Source organism: Homo sapiens, chromosome 18 (assembly GCF_000001405.40).
Source record: "Homo sapiens chromosome 18, GRCh38.p14 Primary Assembly".
NCBI lineage: Eukaryota > Metazoa > Chordata > Mammalia > Primates > Hominidae > Homo > Homo sapiens.
In genome coordinates, this window is record NC_000018.10 from 897,407 (window position 1) to 918,387 (window position 20,981).

Consider the following 20,981-nt stretch of genomic DNA (forward strand, 5'->3'; position numbering starts at 1 on the left):
TTAATTTTTAATTTTTTTAATTTTTAGAGATTCAGGGGTATGTGCAGGCTTGTTAATAAAATCATTTTAATTAATGACTTAGGGTGGCAATAGTTTTTACTTTTTCAACAACCTGGTATATGTAAATAAGAATTCATGGTACACTGTTGATGCACATATTTTTAGAAGCATACTTAGTCTATAAAGCAAAACCCATGAGTATGTGATATGTTTGTAGTCTAACTTATCCAGTTTCAACTGTGTTAATAGCTTTGATCCCTATTACATTAAACATGCTTTTTAATTGAAAAATTAATAAGAAACTGATTTTATTCTCAGTTGAGTAACAGATTAAAGCTAATATTAAATTAGCAATCTGTATTTATAACAATCCTAGTGGCCGGGCGGGGTGGCTCACGCCTGTAATCTCAGCACTTTGGGAGGCTGAGGTGGGCGGATCACGAGGTCACGAGATCGAGACCATCCTGGCCAACATGGTGAAACCCCATCTCTACTAAAAATACAAAAAATAGCTGGGCATTGTGGCCCATGCCTGTAGTCCCAGCTACTCGGGAGGCTGAGGCAGGAGAATTGCTTAAACCCGGGAAGCGGAGGTTGCAGTGAGCCAAGATCGCACCACTGCCTCCCAGCCTGGTGATGGAGTGAGACTCCATCTCAAAAAAAAAAAAAAAAAATTCCTAGAGAAAATAAATATGCCAGTATAACATATTATAGTCATTAAGACTGTCTGGAGTCATTGAGACTTGAATCTGAAGTTCAGCATTACAATGTAGCAGCTGTGTAACTTTGGATAAGGTACCTGAGCTCTTTTAGTCCCGATTTCTTGTCTGTAAAATGGAGGTAATAACAGTGCCTACAAAGAAGTTTGTTGTGAGGGAAAGGAAATAAGTAGTCAAGCACTTAGCCCAGGAAGTGTTCATTAAACAGTTGTTGCTGTTGCTGTTATTCACTGGTGAATAACAAAACCATACAGTCCCTTTGGAAGGAAGGATTTAAAATAATTTAAACAAATAATCACTAAAAATTTCAACCAGTACATTTATGACAAATGTAATAGTATTCCAAGCAGATGATAGTTTTTAAAAATTTATGCCTGTGTATATTTGGGTAGAGACAAAGGATTATTTAAAAAGTATTTTCAGGTTGGGCACACTGGCTCATCCTTGCAACCCCTGCACTTTGGGAGGCTTGAGTCCAGGAGTTTGTGACCAGCCTGGGCAACACAGGGAGACCTTGTCTCTGCAAAGTAATAATAATAACAATAATAATAAATAAAATTAGCCAGGCATGGTGGTGGCATGTGCCTGTAGTCCCAGGTATTCAAGAGGGTGAGGCAGGAGTCTCACTTAAGCCCAAGAGTTTGAGGTTGCTGTGAGCTATGAATGCACTACTGCACTCCAGCCTGGGTGACCGAGGAAGACTCAGTAAAAACAAAACTAAACAAACAAACAAACAAAAACTGCAAAGCCGTGATTACCATACAGTGCTAGTAATAATGATAATAAAAACAAAGGCTCCAAAATTATTACATGTAAACCTATATTCACAGGTAGATAATGCCAAGCCTGAGCCCAAAGGGCAGAGGGATGCTAGGGGCTCACAGAGGAAGACCTTCTTTTGATTTTACACACAAAAACCTTGTTTTATTTTGCATATAGATTCCCCTTCCAACATTTTCTGAAGTGGTCTCAAAAGCTTATTTAGGATATTGGTTTTCCTGGATCCTGTCCAAGCTTTTCCTTCTGCATTTAAGCCTTATGTCAGCAGAGGATTTAGACTAAGTAGAGAGAAGACTTTCTTCTCCTTGGCTTTTTAGAGGAGGTGCTCTGGAATTTGGAAGATGCTACACAGTGAAGTCTGGGATATACATTTTTGGTACCCAGTAAACTCATGTTCAGAGAATAAGGCCTTAGTAGAGCCATATATGTGAGATATTTGGAATCATCCAAACCTGTAGCAAAGGTTAGATCCTGGTTTTTGTTTCTCAGATGTCTGCTTTATATCTCAAAACAACAAGCAAAATTTCTTGGCTCTGTGAATATGCAATTCTGTTCTTAGATTAGAGAGAAGCTTTACTCATGTGGTTTGGAAGGCTTCCTTTCCTAGTTGTTTTCAGTGTGTGAGAAGCACTACATTTTGAAGGTCAGAGAAGTCATGACACATTATAGGTAAGCTCATCAGCTTCTTACTTCACAGTGAGTTCTGAAAGGCATGATGCATGCAGTCCAGTAAGTGATGGTCATGATGTTCTGGTTCAGAACATTTGGGTTTCCCTACAGGTGTAATCGGTATGAAGTGAGTCATTAGTCATTGCATTTTCTGGAAAAGTCGGTAGAGAAAAGTTTAAGTGAAATGTAATACAGTGTTATAATTCACTTTTGTCACTCACAGGAGAGGATGATGTTTTGCATCAGGCTTGTTTACTGAAAAAGCTTATTATAGCCTGGTTCTTATGCTAAGTACTGGCTAAAAAAGAATAGAATGTGCCAGGCACGGTGGCTCACGCCTGTAATCCCATTACTTTGAAAGGCTGAGGCAGGTGGATCACAAGGTCAGGAGTTCGAGACCAGCCTGGCGAACACGGTGAAACTCTGTCTGTACTAAAAATACAAAAATTAGCAGGGTGTGGTGGTGGGTGCCTGTAGTCCCAGCTGCTTGGGAGGCTGAGACAGGAGAATCACTTGAACCTGGGAGGCGGAGGTGGCAGTGAGCCGAGATTGTGCCACTGCACTCCAGCCTGGGGGACAGAGCGAGACTTCATCTCAAAAAAAAAAAAAAAAAAGAATGCACAACTTTTCCAATCTTGATTTAGATTATTTATACTAGGAATGTGTGAGGATGCCTTGAACAAACATGTCCTTTTATATGGTTAAGAAAATCAAATGTTGTAGGATATAGAGATAGTGGTAGTAAAAGGTAATGGTGTAGAGATATGTACCTAAGGAAAGAGAATGTCATGGAGAAACCCTGGGTACTATGGGTGACTGAGCCAAAAAGAAAGTAGTGGAAATCTTATCTAAGTGACCAGAAGCCGCACTTCACTGGGCTGCTTAAAGGCAAAAATACTTTTAGCTCACCACTGATTTGCAATATGGGGATGGAGGGGAGCAGTGTTTAAAAGATGCTGAAGATTCCCATGCAAGAGAGGGAAAGCCAATTTCCCAAGTGGTGATGGTCCAAAGGCAGGAACCTGGCACAGACACAACAGTACAAACACTATAGTATTTGCTAATGTTGTGAAGCCATCTGCAATTCAAACTCCCAGTATATATACTAGACATATTCCTCCTGTTTGAATACAAAAACCCACTTCCTCAAAGGCTAGAGTTCTTTAAATTGAATGTTAATTCAAGGTTCAAGGATTGACCCTTCAACAAAGGCGGATGTGTTAGCCACCAGGAAAAACAATTCGGGGAAGGGTTAGTTTGACTTTTAGCTATTATTTATCATTTCTTACCCAAACTTGTTTTCACATCTGAAGGACCAACAGGATAAAAGTTGATACATTAGGGACTTGAAGTTCAGAGTATTATTAAATCATTTCCAACAAATATATATAAACAGCGTCTTCCGGGCAGGTCAGGGCTTAGCTCAAGTCACTTTCAGTTGCTGTGCCTCAGGGAGGATGCTGGTTAGACCTCCCACTGAAAGATTTCCATTGTTCTTCTAACTTTTCTAGCCAAACATGATTCCAGTTAATGTAACAATCTCACAGCCTGGAAAGAAACTGCCAGCCTGGGAAATCTACTTTTCTGGCCTGGGAAGTATTCTGGTGAGCACTGAGGGAAGGGAGTAGGGGTGTTGGAAAGAAGACTTGAAATTCCTTTGTGTTATCTGTAAATAGAACGTTCTAACTCTTTGGTCTCTTCTTCCTCCTCTCCCCCAACCCCCTCTTTCATCATTTTCAATTATATATAGGAGGTTGGAAAGTTTCTCTTGAGCTCTTAACCCCAGTCACCTAAATACCCTTTGTGAGGGAAACTGGGTAAGAACAATTAAAGTGGAAGGCTCTCCTACCCTGGTCTTGCTCTTCCCCAATTCTCCTCTAGCTCCTCCTCCCTTTATCTCTCTCTCTTCTCATAAAAGTGCTTTAGTTGAGGCTTCCTAGGATTCACCCTCCAGCTCCTATCTGCACTTGAAGCCAGGCTGGGGTCTGCACTTGCAATTAGTATGTCTGTTGGACTGGGCCACGGTATCCCACCTGGCCACTGCCGCATGCCTCCTCAGTGCATGCCGGGGCTCCTGGTCTCTCTAGCCTGGGGCTTTGGGCTGACAAGTTCCCTCTTCCTTGCAGCTCCCTCAAAGTCCCAGACACAAAGGCCTCCAGGATGCTCTGTTAATGCTTGACTGGAGCCTTCCAAGATTAGAATCAAAGGGGCATTTGGGGGTAGTTTTGGTCTTTGAGACTTCAGTCATCCCATATTCCCTCTACCCAATAGAAAGCAGAAGGGGCCTATACTCTCATCTAGCAGCTTCTAGTTCCTCCTATCTATTGGCCTTTTCCCTTGGCCCAGGGCCAAGGCCAGATTTTCATGAATAGGAAAGCTCTCCTGCAGAGAGATGTCAAACATGCCCAGCTAGACAATGGCCATGAGCAACAAAAGATCTGTGGGTGATCCTGTAGGAGTTTGATTCCCCCAGGCTGCTGTGGGCAGGGCTGTGTGGGTCTTTAGATTGTGTTGAGCAATTGGTGGGTCTAGGAAGCTTGATTTTCTGGAGTTCAGTGACCAAGAATCTCAAGTTCTCTGTTTAGTCTTTCACTCTCGTGAATGGGTTCAGGTCTGAAGGCCTGTAATTTTTGGGTGCTGAGCCCCGAGTTCTGAGCTGAGAGTATCTAAGCTGAGAAGAGCACGGGGTCGCAGCCTTGGTAAGTCAGAGGCACAGTTCAGCCTCTGTTGGCCCTTGGAGCCAGCAGTTAGTCGTCCTCCCCAGATAGTTAATCGTGTTTGTGGTTTTCCCCCTTTAATGGGCCGTGAAGTCAGCAAACTCCCCACATGGTGGCTCCCTTTACTAAAGTTGAGTAGTGAATTGTACAAGGAGTCTTGGAAATTTTCAAATATTTCTCCAGATTGAACTCAACTCAGAATTCGTGTGGGAGGAAAGAGTAAGGATTTTAATGGGGTTCACCTTTGACGTGAAGCAAGGCGGAAGACAGGAAAGCCACAGTGGGGAATAGCTTTGGGCGCTTTAGTAAGAAAGACATCTCTGCTTGATTATCTGGTAGTGTTCACCGCAGGCTCTTTGTGTGCGAGCTTGCTGCAGAGGCAGAGCTGAACATGGAAAACACGCATGTAAACAGTCCAACATAAATCAGTGAGCATATGTATCAGAGAAAAAGAGACATATTCCCATGTAGATGTGGTTTGAAGCTTTATTGAAGGCAGACAATCTGAAGCACGGCCAGGAATAAACTAAGAGGAAGCAGACAGTTTTCGGTCATTCATGGCCAGGAATAAACAAAACTTAGTTTTTTTTTTTAAGAAGGAGGAAGTATTAAATCTCAAATAAGAGCAGGAACAGCATTTAGAAGGAGAAATATAATATCTTGGAAAAAGCATGCAGAACTAATATAGCTTATTTAAATGTGAGATCCAAATCGTAGTAACAGGAAACCCTCCCACTAAACTGGAATTTCCCCTAATTTTTGTGTAAGATCCAAATAATTAAAATGCACTCTAATGGTTATTGATGGCTCTATTTTCTTTCTTTCTTTCTTCTTCTTCTTTTTTTTTTTTTTAAAGAAATAGACCTGAGTTCTCTTACTGGAGTAGAAATATATGAACCTTCTTCAATTACCCAGGAAATTGGAAGCCTCTGGGTGGATATGGTCTTCCCTTATTGCTTTCCTCTTCCCACATCATTTTCAGTTAAAAAAATTAACTGTTTCCAGCAGAGGGATTCCTGTTAGAAACCTTCATCAGGTGAACTTGTACTGGGAACCCTCATGCTTTCCCAGTCTGTCTGTGTCTCCCAAACAGAGCTGAAGTTGTAAACAAAGTGGAAAAACATATTTCTCGCCCCCAAATTCTTAAAATTTCACTTCTTGTGGAAAACACAATTTCACAACATCAATTTTTAAAATCTGTAAGAGCCACAGAAGGTGTGAAAGTAGCCAAACAGCCGGTCTAGAAATCCAAAAGCCAGGACTAACGGGGGACAGAATGCTTTTTCCTCAAATCCAGGCAGGGATGGGGAGCATTCTCAGCATTAGGGCATTTATGGACGCTACAAGAGGGAAAGGATGTATCTGAACGGTGGGGGTGATTTAGGCGATGAATCGCCACGTTAATAGCACTACTGCCAAATCTTCAAATTTAGAGGCTCTGGTGAAAAATTAAACCGGTGGCAATTTTCAACGTTTGTAGCATCTGTTACCCTACACTTCAGCACCCGGAGTCTGGACAGCTCCGCAGGCCGCGCTCCGGAGGCAGCATGAGCTCTCATCAATCTACTCATAGCCCTACTGTCAACGGCAGCCAGACTCAGGAGAGATTTACTGAAAATCCTCCAAGACTTCCCTTTAAAAACAAAACGACTTCCACATTTAATGGTCTATCTGAAAGAACATACGCAAGAAATTAGGAGATCTAAATTAAATTTATTAATAGGAGAGCTTGATGATGCTTAATTCCAGAGACCAGAGCTCTGATTGGTGAGGCTTGATGAAAAAGTAAAGAGAAATCGTAATTATATAGTTAAAAACATAACTTTTGTCATCCTCAAAATTCTAAAAATTCTTTACCTGTCCTTGAGAAACGGGTGAAATTGAAAACCATCAAAACAATTGGACTTCTTAAAAATTGGATTGTATGAGTGAAAGGTGTTTATGAGAAGTCGATGACTCCGGATCTTATCATCCAAGAGGACAGCACAGAATAGTTAATATGTTCCTTGAGGGACTAGGATGCTGACGTCTTTTTCTGATACCCGATCATTACGTGACTGAGAAAAAAAAAAAGGAAGTCATTTCATGAATAAAAATCGGAGCGCAACAGTGCAACAAAATATTCTGTACTTAAAGGCAACAGGCAGGCAGATGTTGACAAAGAGGGCTCTCCAAAAACCATGTTCGGATAGATTTTTGCGAACTGCACAGATAAATAGGAGCAGAAGGCCGGTCACCTCTGTAACCAGCGGTAGCAGCAGCAGAAGCCGCAGCTTCAGAGGCAGCCGGAGAGACCTCGGAGCAGAGAAGGCGCCGCCGACCCTCGCGGCTGCCTGGCCCGCGGCTCCTACAAAGGCGGGCTAGCCGCCCGCCCTCTCCCTTGCCTTCCTCCCCTTCTTTTCTGACTTTCCCTCTTTCCCTTAATCGCCTGCTTCTTCCTCCGGGTGGACTTACGGCCACCTTGCTCCTCCGCGCTTCACCTCATCGCCCCCTCTTTCTTTCTTCTGCCTCTCTCTCTGCGCCCCCTTCTCTCCGTGTCACGCTCCCTCCTGGTTCTGCGCGTCTACAAACTTTTGAGCAGAACACGAGCCTCGGCAAACGAGTCCCGCAGCTCCTCCTGCTGCTCCCGCTGGTTCCTGCGGCTTCTGCTCAGACACCAACGCCAGACGGCGATGCCTCTCGGGTGGTGACTCCAGCGCAGGAACTTGAAGAAGCGCTTTGCCCGCCGTCCTACCTGGCAGCTCTCCTGGCAGCGGGAGGAGTTGAAGGGTAAGGGAGGGAAAATCTTACCAAAGCGACCGGCTCACTCGACTGCTGATTCTTTCGCTTGGCATCGCGTCAGGGGAGTTAGCTTTCCTTCAGCCGGGTCTGGCTAGTTATTGGGCGCCGGGTAGATGCATATATATATATTTTTTTCTAACTATAGCAAGCAAGAAGTGGCAGGGCGCGCACCGGCTGTCGCCAAGTGCTGTTCAACTCAGGGAGCCGGGGCTTCGCTCCGTCCCTCCCCCGGCTTCCAGAGCTTTTTGGGGTTGGAGGGTGGGAGGCCAGGGGCGTTCTCACAGCTGTGTGTCCTCTTTCCCATCCTGCGCAGAATGACCATGTGTAGCGGAGCGAGGCTGGCCCTGCTGGTCTATGGGATAATCATGCACAGCAGCGTCTACAGCTCACCTGCCGCCGCCGGACTCCGGTTCCCCGGGATCAGGTAGGTGCTGGCTGCCTGGCCCAAGCAGGAGCTGGGGCTTCCCAGGCACAGACGCTTCCTCACGGTCTCCTTCCTGCAGTCCTTTGGGTCCAGACTACTAGCATCGCCCTCTGCGCCCCCGGTGCGCCTCCGCCAGCCTCGGCTGGACAGCGGGTCCCCATTCTAGCCGAGGGTCTGGCAGGCTCCGCGACTGCTCGGACGCCTCCCCCAGCCCTAGGCAGCTCAGGGTCCCGGGTAGAGCCAGTGAGCTTCTGGCCGCTGGAGAACCCCCCCTCCCCCAACCCGGCCCACAGGATGGGGGCAGGGCACGGCCCCTAGCTTGGTTTCTTTTACCTATTCTTGGGACGAGTTAGGAGAACTTCAGCTCTGGAGCCTGGCCGGGGGTTGAGCGTGAAGCTCCCTCGGACTTTGCTTTGTTACTGCTTGTTCTGGACTATCCGGGTGGGGTCTCTCTCTCTCCTCCACCCTTTCTTTTCATTTCATTCCAATTCTTTCCCCTGAAGAGCTTTCTTTCAAGTGATCCGTGTTCCAACTGCATTTTGAATCCCAGGCTGTCTTGGGGGGCGTGCGGTGGGGAGGGTGTTGGCCCGGTGTGATTGAGGAAAAGCGACTTAAGAGAGGGAAGAACAAGGACGAGACTGCGAAGGAGGGGGAAAAACAGGCGCAAAGGAGGAGGAAGGGAAAGCCAGCAGGCAGGCAGGACCGGGAGAGCAGCCCTGCCTGGCCCGGGATGGAGGAACCTTGGCTTTTTTCTTAACCCCGGGTTTCTAACCGGCAGGCGCGGCCCAGGTTCCCGGAGGCAGCCCCAGAGTCGCGGACCGATGTGCCAGGCTGTGGATGAGCCCTGGGTAGGGGAGGGTTCGTACCAGCGGCGCCTGGGGCAGCGAGGAGCGCGCGTTCTGCCTGCGAAGCTGCCTTCTCCGAGCCCCGCCCAGGAACATTAGCTCTGGGGGGCCGCTGATCATTGATTTGGACGGAGAGATGGGTTCTGGGTTCTGTATTAGGATTCCAGCATCTGGGCTCGAGGCAGGGCAATATCCAGAAAGACCCCAGGGTTCGGGGTACCCGGGCCAGGGCTGAGGCGCATCGCCGAGCAAAGGCTGGGTGCGAGGCGTGCGGAATGATGCGCTTGCCTTGCCCGGGCCTCTCCAAGGATGGAGAAAAGGCGAGTGAAGCAGCGAAGTACGACTCCAACCCCGCCCAGAGAGTGCTACTAGCGCTGGCTGCACGCCAAGTCTCTCCAGGGGTCCAAAGCGAGAGGGATTTGTTTTAACCCATCTCTACCCGTCCTGTGTCAAGAACGGAGGCTGTAGAGGGCGACTGCGAAGTCGCCAGGCACTCGCTGGATCTCGGTCCCCCTCCTCGTGCTCTGGGGTTGAGATGGGGCACCGCCATCGATAACAGATCAGCGCGAACTATTCGTTTAGTGGCCTTAAAACACCCTGGTTTCACCCTCAGCTATTTTCAAGTTCCCGTGTGCCTGGCACTTTCTCCGTGCGAGAAGCACCGGAGGGTGCGGACGCGCCACAGTCTGAGCCGCCGCCGAACTGGCTAAGTTTAGGGGCATTTATTATTCATGTTCCTGCCAGATCCTCGCCTGCCCAAAATAGAAACCGAGGTTCTCCGTGACCTACATCTGCTCGGAGAAGGGCTCCCCTGGGCTCGGAGGCTGGGGTGGGGGTGGCTGAGGAGTTGGCCCCCGCACGCCCCACGCATCCTCTCCTTTGCTTTCTGGGCCTCCCCATTCGGGTCTTCGCGTGGGTCAGCGCCCGGTCTCCCAGGGCCTTTCTCGTCCCCGCCCGTTGCTGCTTTGGGGAGGCTCGGGAGCCAGGCGGGGAGGGGGGCGGTCCTTTTCCGTAGACAGGTGTGCGCGATCGGCGGAGACGCCTCGGTTTCCCAGCGCTTGTTGAGGCCGTGGCCCGCAGGACGACCCTTTACCCGCGAAGGGGGGGTGGGCGGGCCGCCCGGCGGGGTAGGAGTGGTTGGGTGTCGTTGCCTCCTCCTTACCTCTGCTCCCACCCCCAGTCCTGGGAGAAGAGACAATTCTCAGCGGAGGACTTTTATCACCTGTGAAAATCCGCGCGAGCCCCTTACTTTGGATCCTCGCCGAGCTGGGGAGGAACTTGCACTGACCACACCTTCTGTCCCCGGCCACCCCGCAGGCCAGAGGAAGAGGCGTACGGCGAGGACGGAAACCCGCTGCCAGACTTCGATGGCTCGGAGCCGCCGGGCGCAGGGAGCCCCGCCTCCGCGCCGCGCGCCGCCGCCGCCTGGTACCGCCCGGCCGGGAGAAGGTGAGATTCGCGCGGCCTCGCGCACACCCGCGGCTGGGAGCTCGGGACTGCGGTGACGGGAGGGGCAGTGTGGTGACCCACCCAGGATTTTTTTTTTTTTCCCGTGAAAGTCCTCAAGCCTGTCCTCTCCCTGGCCCGATCCTATTGCAGCGACAGAAAATCAGCAGCGGGCGGGTCTGTGTGGACCTGAGGGCCGCGTGGGGACCGAGGGGGGCTGTGGCCCAAAGAGTGGCAGTGAGTGGCGTCAAGGAACCCACACTCCGCATCTGCCACTCCTAGAGCCGGGACTAGCTCCCGATCCTAGCAGTTGCTCTCGAGATCATCCCGGGAGTTATTGGCGAGTTCTGGGCCTCTGGAGGTTTCCCTGTCAGCCTCCCCGGCCGCCGAGGGGGCGCGCGCCCAACAAGGGGGTCTCTAGCGGCCACCTGGGGACAGAAACAGTGACCCTGGGCGCGCACTTTGCCTCCCCGTTAGAGATGTCGCCCACGGGATCCTTAACGAGGCCTACCGCAAAGTGCTGGACCAGCTGTCCGCCGGGAAGCACCTGCAGTCGCTCGTGGCCCGGGGCGTGGGGTAAGAGTTTGTGGAAGGATTAACCTGCGCGCGCCGGGGTGGGTGCCTGTGCGGGGCGCGCGGGGCGGGCGGCGGTGGGTGCCCGTGGGGGCCAGGGTGAGTCTGCGCCCCTGGGTCTGGGGTGGGCATCCGCCACGGGTCGCAGTTGGAGATTTTGAAGTGGCACTTTAAATTTGCCCAGAGAGCTCTGGAAGAGGCAAAAAGGGAACGCGAGCCAGGGAGTTTGATCCGTTTTGAATGAAAAGAAAGAGAAACCAAACCAAACCTCTCAGTCATCCAAAACCTTCAGGCTTCCAGGGAGGTTTTGCTATAATTTTCTCTAAGCATGACTGTTTCTGGGGGAGGGGAAAGGGGTGGTTGTATTTACTGAAAATTCAAATCGAAATAATAAATGGCCAAATGTGGACACTTATGGACCCAAACAGTTTTGCTCACGCCAGAGAAACTGAGAGCACAGGGCTTGTGTGAAGCCTATCTCGGCAGAAGGCAACATTCTAATAAAGCCCGTGGGAAAACAGATTACATTTTCGCCATGAATAAGTCATGCAGTGAAAAATATTGCCTACAGCCTGTCGACTTATATTATTATCACGTTTTTCAACTCGGCGTGAGGAGGGAGAGGAGTGTTCATATTTGACTAGGAATTGCAGGATCGATGCAAACTCCAGGGCAGCAGCCAGACTGGCATATGTAGGGCTCTCCGGTTACTTTCTCTGTATGTCGCGGGTGAGAGGAACAGCGAGGACAATTTAGCGCAAACACACGAAGGGTCGGATCTCAAGGGGGCAGCGCTGGGAGAAAGGTTAGGCTTGAAGCGCGCGTCGCCTGCCCGGATCTTATCCCGGGCCCCCTCCGCAGGGTTTGGTGCCAGGAGATCCTGCGTGGGGAGGGGGGCATCGAGGGGCTGCCGTCTCGGCCCTCCCCACGGCTGCTTCCAGGCAGAGGCGGGCGACGCGGTGGGCAGTGCGAGCCCCGGGCCCTCCCCGAAGGCTCCCGCGTGGGGTGGGGCCCGCCTGCTCCCCGCGGCGATTGAACCTGTGTCTCCCGCCCCGCCACCCTCTTCCCGACCCCTTTGCTTGCAGTGGGAGCCTCGGCGGCGGCGCGGGGGACGACGCGGAGCCGCTCTCCAAGCGCCACTCGGACGGGATCTTCACGGACAGCTACAGCCGCTACCGGAAACAAATGGCTGTCAAGAAATACTTGGCGGCCGTCCTAGGGAAGAGGTATAAACAAAGGGTTAAAAACAAAGGACGCCGAATAGCTTATTTGTAGCGATGGGTTACCAGCTACCCTGTGTATACAGCCCTGACGCAATGAAAAGTCGTTTTCCAAACTGACTCAACAGTCATCGCTCGTGTGTTCTATCCAAACATGTATTTATGTAATGAAGTAAAGCCATTAAATGAATATTTTGATAATAATATTGTTTTTCTTTCTACAAAGCACTAGAGAATGCACAGATATACTTTGTGGACCAATTATTGATATATATTATAAATATATATAAAGAATATATATATATATATATATATATATATATATAAAGTATAGAGAGAAGTTCATACAAAGCGTGCACAAGGATTGAAAATTCGCCCGAGCTGTTTATGTTTTTATAAAAATAAATAGAAAAGTAGACAATCATTGTTTTGAATATTACTCCTATTTTTGTAAACTGGAATTAAAAGGATAGTATTTTTATCCATGACAGGCCTGAAGATATTACTACTTACCATTTGCTACTGTACATAAACAATGATGCCCTGCTCCAGGGAGATTTTGAGGTAAAGATATGGAGAATTGCTGAAGGGCATTCTTTCCCAGTGAGTCTCTGGGGCAGGCTGCTTCAATCCCAGCCTAACTCAACTGGGCTCTGTCCCCCTGGTTGGGTGGCAATTCCAATATTTCTGCTTTCTTTGATTCTCCTTTTATGTGTAGTTGTCTCTCTTCAGACTCTCAGCCCAGAAGAAAATTCTCCTGATAAAACAACAGCTCGATCCAAATTGTGCTTCTCCCCAGAATTCACGCCTCTCCCTAGGAGAAGAGTTGAGGAACTGTACAGAAAAGGGCGGCTTCGTTAGACCGCTCTCTTTTCTGTACTTCCTGAGTGGCCAGGGAATCTAATATCCCCAAATTAGGGCAATTGGAACAAAGTGAAGGACATAGAGGTATATTGGAAGAGGCAGAGCCTGAGGTGGTAGGAGGAGGACCCTGGAAATGGACTGGTTTGAGATTGCCCCAGGTCTGGGAAGCTGAGGGCAAATCCAGTCCCAATGGTCCTGACTTTGGGCGCTGGGTATTGGAAATGGATGCAAAGTACAATGTGTTTTTCTCCAGTGCTGTCCATGCTTCTCATCTTGTGAAATGGCCAGGATCCTCTCCTTTGAAACCTGCTCTGTAGGAGCTACCCTTTTCCTTTGTGGTTTTATGGAGACCTCTCCTTCCTACCCTCCTGCACTGTTTAAGTACTGTTTACCATTTTTCATTCACTTCTCTTAAACTTGTGAATGCTTCTCACTTTTTTTTTTTGTTTGATGCAGGCACTTATTGTAAATTTTAGAAACCCCTCTGTAGCCACTAGTAAGTAATTATGCACTAAATATGAACCCTTTGTTTCTTGTTTATTGAGTTTGTAGGTAAAATGTATTTTTCTACATTATTGCTTATTGCTTAGTAAAATTTATTTCATAAAACCAACCTTTGTCATATTAGAATGTGTAGTGTTCACATGTTGCTCAGTTTTGCTAACTGATAAATCATTTAATCCTCTTCTTCATATGTATGAGTACTATCTTATATCTGTGGTCAAGAGTGAGGTAAGCAAGCTCCAACAGACCCTGAGAACCTACGCTTGTATCCTTTCTTTGGCTAAAGAAAGCATGTCTGTTTCCTGTCAATTCTTTGAACATACAGAGTAATCTTTATAAACAAAAGAACCTTCACCCAGCAATCAGATCGAGCAGCAACAGACAAACCAGCCAGCCAATCTCCCAAATTTCAGGCACAAGTTTATTTATTTATTTTTTTATGTTTTGAAAAAAGAAGATGAAGAAGAAGAAAAAAAAAAGAACAAGGAAAGATTAAACGTTAGCTTGTAAAGTTTAAAGGACCTTTCCTTTTCCTTTACGGATTTGATCAGTATGAAGTCATAAATCAAAGAAAACAGAATTGGATTTGCATTCCCAGGCGGGATGGATGCTGCCAGGAGATCACATTGCAAATAGTGAAAACAGAGGCATTCGGTCTATGCCTGAGTCCTGTGTATAGGATCAATCTTCCTTTAATTCCGCAGTCTCCTCAGGCAATGTGACACGGGATGCAGTTTGCAGCTTTAGTGCCTTTCTTCGCCTTTTAAATTGCCACGAATCACAGATGGCTATTTAGTGGCCCTACAATGCTGCAACACATCAGCTTGCATTTTAGTCTTAATTATTTGTTTCTTGGATAATGGGCAGAGTTTTCTGTATTTGTATCAGCTGTTAGTGGTGAAATAGGGCTCTAGTTAACCTTTTATTTATGAAGTCTAATTTAGTGTTCCCGTGGCTAGTTGCAAGCATTTTACAGTGATCACCCAGTTTAATCTTTTGTATACTTTTTAGAAATGCCAAGAGCCTTACTAAACTGAAGCAGATTTATGATATAGTGATAATTTAGGTAGATGTTAGTCTTGAAGCTCTTATTTTGTGTGCAACTGATTATAAAAACACCTTAACCAAGTATTATTACACACATGATATCTATAACTAGGACTTTGATAACTGTTATATAAAGTGTGTAAAATTTGTATGAATAAATTTTTGTAAACAATGCAACTTGGTCTAATGTTTGGGAAAAAAGACATTCAGGAAATAATTACTTTAAAATCTCTTAAAGTATTATATTTCTTTAGCAACCATAAGATTTTTTTACGTCTGGAATATATATCTATCTAAGCACCCTTGTATTTTCATGAACTGCACTTTAATAATTGATGGGCAACTGGATTCTGCTAAAAATTTAAAGTAGCTACTCAGATGGAGATGCCTAAGAAGGTTTTAAGCTCATAAACAGGCATGATGTTGCAACATTATAAGACACACAATTTAGATTAATTTCCATCCCCTAGTGTGTATATACTTTGCTCAATATTCAGAAAGTTACTAGGTAGTAGTGGGAGACAATGCTGGAGCATTAGTTACACATCTAAAATAGCAATCTAACATTGTTCTTTTATTTTTTATTTTAGTGGCCAGGTCTCACTATGTTGCCCAGGCTGGTCTTGCTCAAGCGATCCTCCCACCTCAGCCTCCCAAAGTGCTGGGATTACAGGCGTGAGCCACCACACCCAGCCTAAAATAGGGATCTAACATTGTTCTTATACAAGTAACTCTGCAGACTAAACTTGTCTTGATAAAATTTTGTATAAAATGATCTAAATAATCAGTTTTTGGAGGTTTTAAAATGTGTTTAGAGACATACAAACTACTGTCTCTGATTAAAATGCTTTAGGTAGAAGGAACGTGAACATGAGTAAGTAAAGAGTTAATTAGATGCCTTTAAAAGAAAATGTACTTTGAAGTCCAGGAAGAAACACAAGAAGTCATTTGTGGATTGTATGCTTTCTTAGTTCATATTTACAAACTTTAGGGCAAAGCTTTCATACGAAATTCCTTCAAATTCCGTAGTGGTGTGTGTTTTGGCACCTTTGACTATTTCTGGCTTAGAAAATGTATAGAAAGTCACACAATAATTGACATACCATTTAATTTAAAATGCCAGGGTTTCATCCTAAAAATTAATGGTCTCAATTAGTAAATCAATAAATATGTTACGATAGAATTAAAGGATGAGTGAGGATTCTAAAATTATCTTCAGAATTTAGCTCAGTATTTAAGGCCTAGAATCAAATAGGGAGGAGCCCACAGTCTAGAAATCCCGTTTGTAGTCAATGAAAAAATGAATCCAGTACAGTTCATATTTGCATTTGATTTTATTGGATAAGGAATTTTTCTTCTCCATCTTTAACTGCCCCTCTTTGTCCTTGAAGACATAGTGTGGTAGATGAAAAAATGAAGAAGACTTTATTCGGTTGGGGCTAGGCTAACGACTTGTCAAGAACATAAAGATAAACCCCAGACTTGGCTGACTTCAAGTGAATTTCATGTATTTAGCAACTTGCCATATTATCTTCGGTGATAACTCAAATTACATCTTTTTAAAGGCAGACTTGATACATATGGGTATTCAAGAAGCTGTAATAGGTGCCTTAATGCTGTTAGGGCGGAGAACACACTTATTCAATACAATGCACACTTATTGAACACCTGAAATGGGCCACCGCACTGGTCGAGAGAGCTTGACTAACACCTGGGAGCTCAGGTAGTATTTTTTTCAGAATGTTTTTCTGAAATGTGATCATCTTTGGGGCGGGGGGAGCTTAAAAATGCAAAATTGTAGGGCTCTGCCAGATCCAGTGAATCTGCATTTTAAATAAAAACCCTAGATTACTGTGCACTAAAATTTGAGACTGCCTAGATTTAGAATTGGTGACATATGTAGGCATACATATGTGCTGGTCTGAATGTTTTTTTCATATGAAATAAGCAAAAGGTCATGTTACCTGCATACAGTAATAAATACATAACTGTGCCATATTCTTCCAAGATATCTGGTCATTAAGCTCCTTGACAATTTCAGTATTTCCTTTAGGTCACTAAAACTACTAGTTAGCATTATTTTACTTGTACAGTCTGGTTGGACCTCTCCTACAGGAGCTTGTGGAAGGAGAGTGATCCTCTAAGTTGGGTCCAAAATATTCAATCACAGGACTAAGAGATTATGGCTATAATGAGGAGAACTTGTGCAGCTAGCTAGCCATAATTCTGGGGATCCAGAAGTCAACTTCCAGTTGCATTATATCCCAATTTGGTTTGAATGTATTTACTGCTCCCCAACTGTTTACAAGATGGTTTCTCTTGGATGGCTCACTATAACCTTCAACCCAACCCTACTGTTCACATGATCACAAGATTGGAAGCCAAGATCAAGTCATCCCTCTTCTCTTTTGTTGCCACTCTTTTTTGTAGAAGGGAGATGCCAGCTGCCCCTGCTGCTGCAGATTGCATCACTGCTGGATTCTTACATTGGTTTGTAGTTGGTCATCCTGGTCACTTCCCCTGCAACCACATAGTTTTAGCTCCATCTTAGTATCATGTCCCTCTGATCAGATGTTCCAGAGTAGCTTCCATTGTCAAAGGGTTAAAGGGTTTAAGGTAATCAGTAGTCAATTTTACCTCTCTGTTCTTCAACACGATCCTTCCTCTTTTTTTTGTTTTGAGAAAGGGTCTTACTCTGTTGCCCAGGCTGGAGTGCAGTGGCACGATCTCGGCTCACTGCAACCTCTGCCTCCCGGGTTTAAGCGATTCTCCTGTCTCAACCTCCCGAGTAGCTGGGATTACAGGTGCATGCCAACGCGCCCGGCTAATTTTTGTATTTTTAGTAGAGACGGGGTTTCACTGTGTTGGCCAGGCTGGTCTTGGACTCTTGTCCCCAAATGATCCACCCACCTTGACCTCCCAAAGTGCTGGGATTACAGGCTTGAGCCACCGTGTGCGCCTGGCCTTTTTTTTTTTTTTTTTTAGATGAAGTTTCGCTTTTGTCGCCTAGGCTGGGGTGCAATGGCTTGGCTCACTGCAGCTTCCACCTTCCAGGTTCAAGTGATTTTCCTGCCTCAGCCTTCTGAGTAGCTGGGACTACAGGTGTGTGCCACCACACCTGCCTAATTTTTTTATTTTTAGTAGAGATGAGGTTTCATCGTGTTGGCCAGGCTGGTCTTGAACTCCTGACCTCAAGTGATCCATCCACCTTGGCCTCCTAAAGTGCTGGGATTACAAGCATGAGCCACTGCACCAGGCCAATCCTTTTTCTTTAAAAAAACAGGTTCTTATCAGTTTTGGAAACGCAAATGCTCCCTATCAGCTCCCAGCAATACCCCCATGACCACAATGTCCTTTCTCTACCCACCCAACCTCAATATTCTGTAAGGTCCAACTCAAGCTCTCCTTTCCTAGGCATCTCCTTTAGCCTCTCAGAGTCACAATCATCTTCACTCCCCCACCCCGAGAACCTGCACTGTTTTTCCATGACCATTATACTCTGTATTGCCCTTTCTGTATTCCCTTTCTGACTTTTAATTCCACATTGCTCTGTCCAGTTCCGTAACTGTTTCATAAGAGCATGGCTTGTCTTCCCACTGGATGACCCCCTAGAGGGTGTGGATGATACATTGCACTTTAATGCCAACACACTTCTGGGAACATAAGAAATATCTTTTCTAAGTGATTGGAATAACCAGAGGACCTGTAGAATTCACCATGATATTTCTCCCTTGTAACAGGACAACGGCAAAGCATATACAGGAGTACAATTAACTTTTTTTTTCCTTTTTTTTTTTTTTTTTTTAGTGTGGAAGAGCCAAAGATCTGAAAAATTAACTTATCAATTAGATGGGCATCATGAATCAAACTAGATCTACCTCCAGGAAAAGCTACATAGAAAAGAATGCTAAATTAGTGTGTTTCTATTAGTTAAGATAAACTAAACTCCAAATTCACATACAGGCAAAAGGCTGTCATAGATTCAAGCCACACAGGCTTTTATTTTTTTCATTCTCATAGAAAAAAGAAGAGTCTTATTTTCAAACTAAAAGAGAATTCACCTTATGCTTCAAGACAATGATACCTTTTTTCTAGAATACAGGAAAAGGGATACCTTGAGAGGCAGACTGGGAACTGGACTGCTCTCAAAGTGATAATTAACAGAGCAGTTATCTACAGCTGCCAAAGAAACTTCCCCCATCAACTGAAATGTAATTTGAAATATGAGTTCATAGACAGGAAAAAGAACATAATGAAAAAATACTTTTTTTTAACAGTTTAGCATTATAGTAGGTGATGTCATCTGGTCCAAGTTAAATTTTTTCTTAATTATGTCTTTGCTATATATTATAGAATCCTAAGTCAGAGAGGAATATTGCCTATAAACCACAAAGAAAATAGTATGATGTGTATCTATGTGTATTTCCCTTTCCCTTGTTAACTACCCTGATTTTTGCTTGGTTAACTATACCTACCTCATGCAGGGTATGGATTTTATGGGGACAATAACTCCCCACTTTTAAATATAACTAATCAGGATAATTGCATCTCCTAGCCATAGTTCCTGGCATGGCATGTGATCCATTTTAGAATAGTGGGGTTAGAGAGGAATTTTTTTTTGATGCTTCTAGTAAAGGAGTCCTTTCTTTTCTCTGGAATGGTGTGGTGTGTAATGTAGTGCACCATATAAGAAGCCAGCCTCACAGTGGACCTGTCACCATGGAAGACACAGAGAAGTAACAGGAAAAGGCAGGTTCCTGATGACATCATTGAGTCCCTGAATCAAACCAACCCTGAAACCAGAACTACCACTGGAGTTTCCTGTTAAATAAGTCAATAAGTCCCCTTCATTGCCTAAGTCAGTTTTTTTCTTTTTTGGTTTGTTATTTGTAGTATCAGTTAGGACCCATGTTTCAAGTAGTGGAAAACCCAACTCGAACTGGCTTAGTATGGTTTTCTCAGAACACAGAAGAGAGTTAAGAGTGGTCTACAGAGGTTCCAGGCGACAGGAAGCTTTACAAGTTCCAGTGCCCGAGTGTTCCAAAGATTTCACATCCTCCGTTAAGAATTTAACGTTTCAATATTAAAATATTTCAGAGCACCTAGAAGCAAACCCTAGTCACTAATTTTAACTATAGTAAGAAATATCCTTTGAGGAGCTCTCACCGTCTTTTGCTGCCAACTGTACTACTTCTTTGGACCACGAGTACCTTAGAACTGCTCTTCTCTGAAACATTTTTTGAAATTCTGTTGAGTAGAAACTACTATCCCGTCACTGCTGTCATTCCCTAACACCCAGGAAACTTGTGATCACACTGGAGGCTCCAGTCTTTTGATGCCCTGCCCGCCATTTCCCCAGGCTCCCTGCCCCTTTCTCTCTTCGCTGTTTCTCCTCTCATCCCAGATCAGTTTAATGACCCTGCCTGCCCCCACTGACCATTTTTCACTACCTGACCTTTTTTGCCACACTCACATTAACACTCCTCAAAGTTGGATCAACCCAACCGTGTGTTTTCTCCTGGTTGCTGAAACCCAACTGTGTGTTTTCTCCTGGTTGCTGAAGGCCATCGAGAAAAATCTTGGCTCTGTTTTGATCCTTTCTTACTATAAATTTATGATTACCTATGTCTGTAGGATCTATAAAGCACTCATTGCTAATCAGTCTTATTTTCTATTCCTGTACTTACTTGCTTCACTCTTCAGTATCCTTGGCGCATCCTGCCAGGGTGACCTCATTGTTGATTTTGCCTGCCATTTTCCAAACACAAACAAATACAAAACAAAACTTCCCTAGTTTCTTTTCCTCTAGCTCCATGTGTTTTTTCACTTCAAATTCCCACCTCGATTTCCTGAGGTTTGTATTTCCTCTAACACTTAATTGCAATTTCTTCATGTTCATTTGTCCCATACTTGCCAAGTGCAATATTTTTGCAGTTCCCATCTTGTATAATCTTTTTATAACATTCCCTCTTTCCTAAAACTTTCTTTTCACTTGTTCCTGGAACTTGGCTTTTTGTCTTTTCCCTCTCATACCATTTTGCCTCATTTTCAATCTTTTATATTGCCTCCTCTTCCTTCTTTAAGGTAGATGGCCTCAAGTTCTGTCCTTCCCCCTTTCTCCTAGGGCTATACTTTCACCTAGGATAATCTTATCTTTTATGATCTGATGGTTTGACGACTTGCAATCTTACAGACCTTGTGAGAAAGTTAAAGTGTCCAATTGAGATATTTACCTGGACATCCAGTGAATACTAAAAATCTTTGCAATTATCCCTCAGTATCCACATGGAATTGATTCCAGGACCCCTGCAGAACCCAAAATCTGTGGATGCTCAAGTCCTTGATATAAATGGTGTGGCATTTGCATGTAACCTGTGCATATCCTCCTGTAT

At 45.2% G+C, this 20,981-nt stretch overlaps 1 protein-coding gene and 1 long non-coding RNA gene across 5 annotated transcripts, besides 3 other annotated features; one reads left to right on the forward strand and one right to left on the reverse strand.

The window, feature by feature from the left end:
- Positions 2,888-3,088: a silencer, noted in NCBI's record as "peak3036 fragment used in MPRA reporter construct". NCBI's record gives its function as "represses an SCP1 promoter by STARR-seq MPRAs in K562 erythroleukemia cells {active_cell/tissue: K562}" and the evidence as "EXISTENCE:reporter gene assay evidence [ECO:0000049][PMID:32103011]".
- Positions 5,358-9,246, reverse strand: LOC124904340 (uncharacterized). Its single transcript, XR_007066435.1, has 2 exons — positions 7,676-9,246; positions 5,358-6,942 (listed from the first exon to the last, which is right to left on the reverse strand). It is a non-coding gene; the product is annotated as an uncharacterized LOC124904340 (long non-coding RNA).
- On the forward strand, positions 7,005-14,766 carry ADCYAP1 (adenylate cyclase activating polypeptide 1). 4 transcript variants are annotated; one of them, XM_005258081.5, is made up of 6 exons: positions 7,005-7,152; positions 7,355-7,654; positions 7,980-8,090; positions 10,253-10,384; positions 10,859-10,957; positions 12,040-14,766. In XM_005258081.5, exons 1-6 carry the CDS (start codon positions 7,037-7,039, stop codon positions 12,227-12,229), a joined length of 948 nt encoding a protein of 315 aa, XP_005258138.2. In that variant the 5' UTR covers positions 7,005-7,036; the 3' UTR covers positions 12,230-14,766. The 4 variants fall into 4 exon arrangements, with proteins under 4 accessions (XP_005258138.2, NP_001093203.1, XP_047293244.1 ...); NM_001099733.2 differs by lacking the exon at positions 7,005-7,152 and having other exon boundaries at positions 7,465-7,654; XM_047437288.1 differs by lacking the exons at positions 7,005-7,152; positions 12,040-14,766 and adding an exon at positions 11,139-12,026 and having other exon boundaries at positions 7,465-7,654.
- Positions 10,310-11,031: an enhancer, noted in NCBI's record as "H3K27ac-H3K4me1 hESC enhancer chr18:907717-908438 (GRCh37/hg19 assembly coordinates)". NCBI's record gives its function as "activates a minimal SCP1, AML or CMV promoter by ChIP-STARR-seq in primed H9 embryonic stem cells {active_cell/tissue: H9 hESC(primed)}" and the evidence as "EXISTENCE:reporter gene assay evidence [ECO:0000049][PMID:30033119]".
- Positions 11,754-12,475: an enhancer, noted in NCBI's record as "NANOG-H3K27ac-H3K4me1 hESC enhancer chr18:909161-909882 (GRCh37/hg19 assembly coordinates)". NCBI's record gives its function as "activates a minimal SCP1, AML or CMV promoter by ChIP-STARR-seq in naive H9 embryonic stem cells {active_cell/tissue: H9 hESC(naive)}" and the evidence as "EXISTENCE:reporter gene assay evidence [ECO:0000049][PMID:30033119]".
- Positions 14,767-20,981: the final 6,215 nt, after the last annotated feature.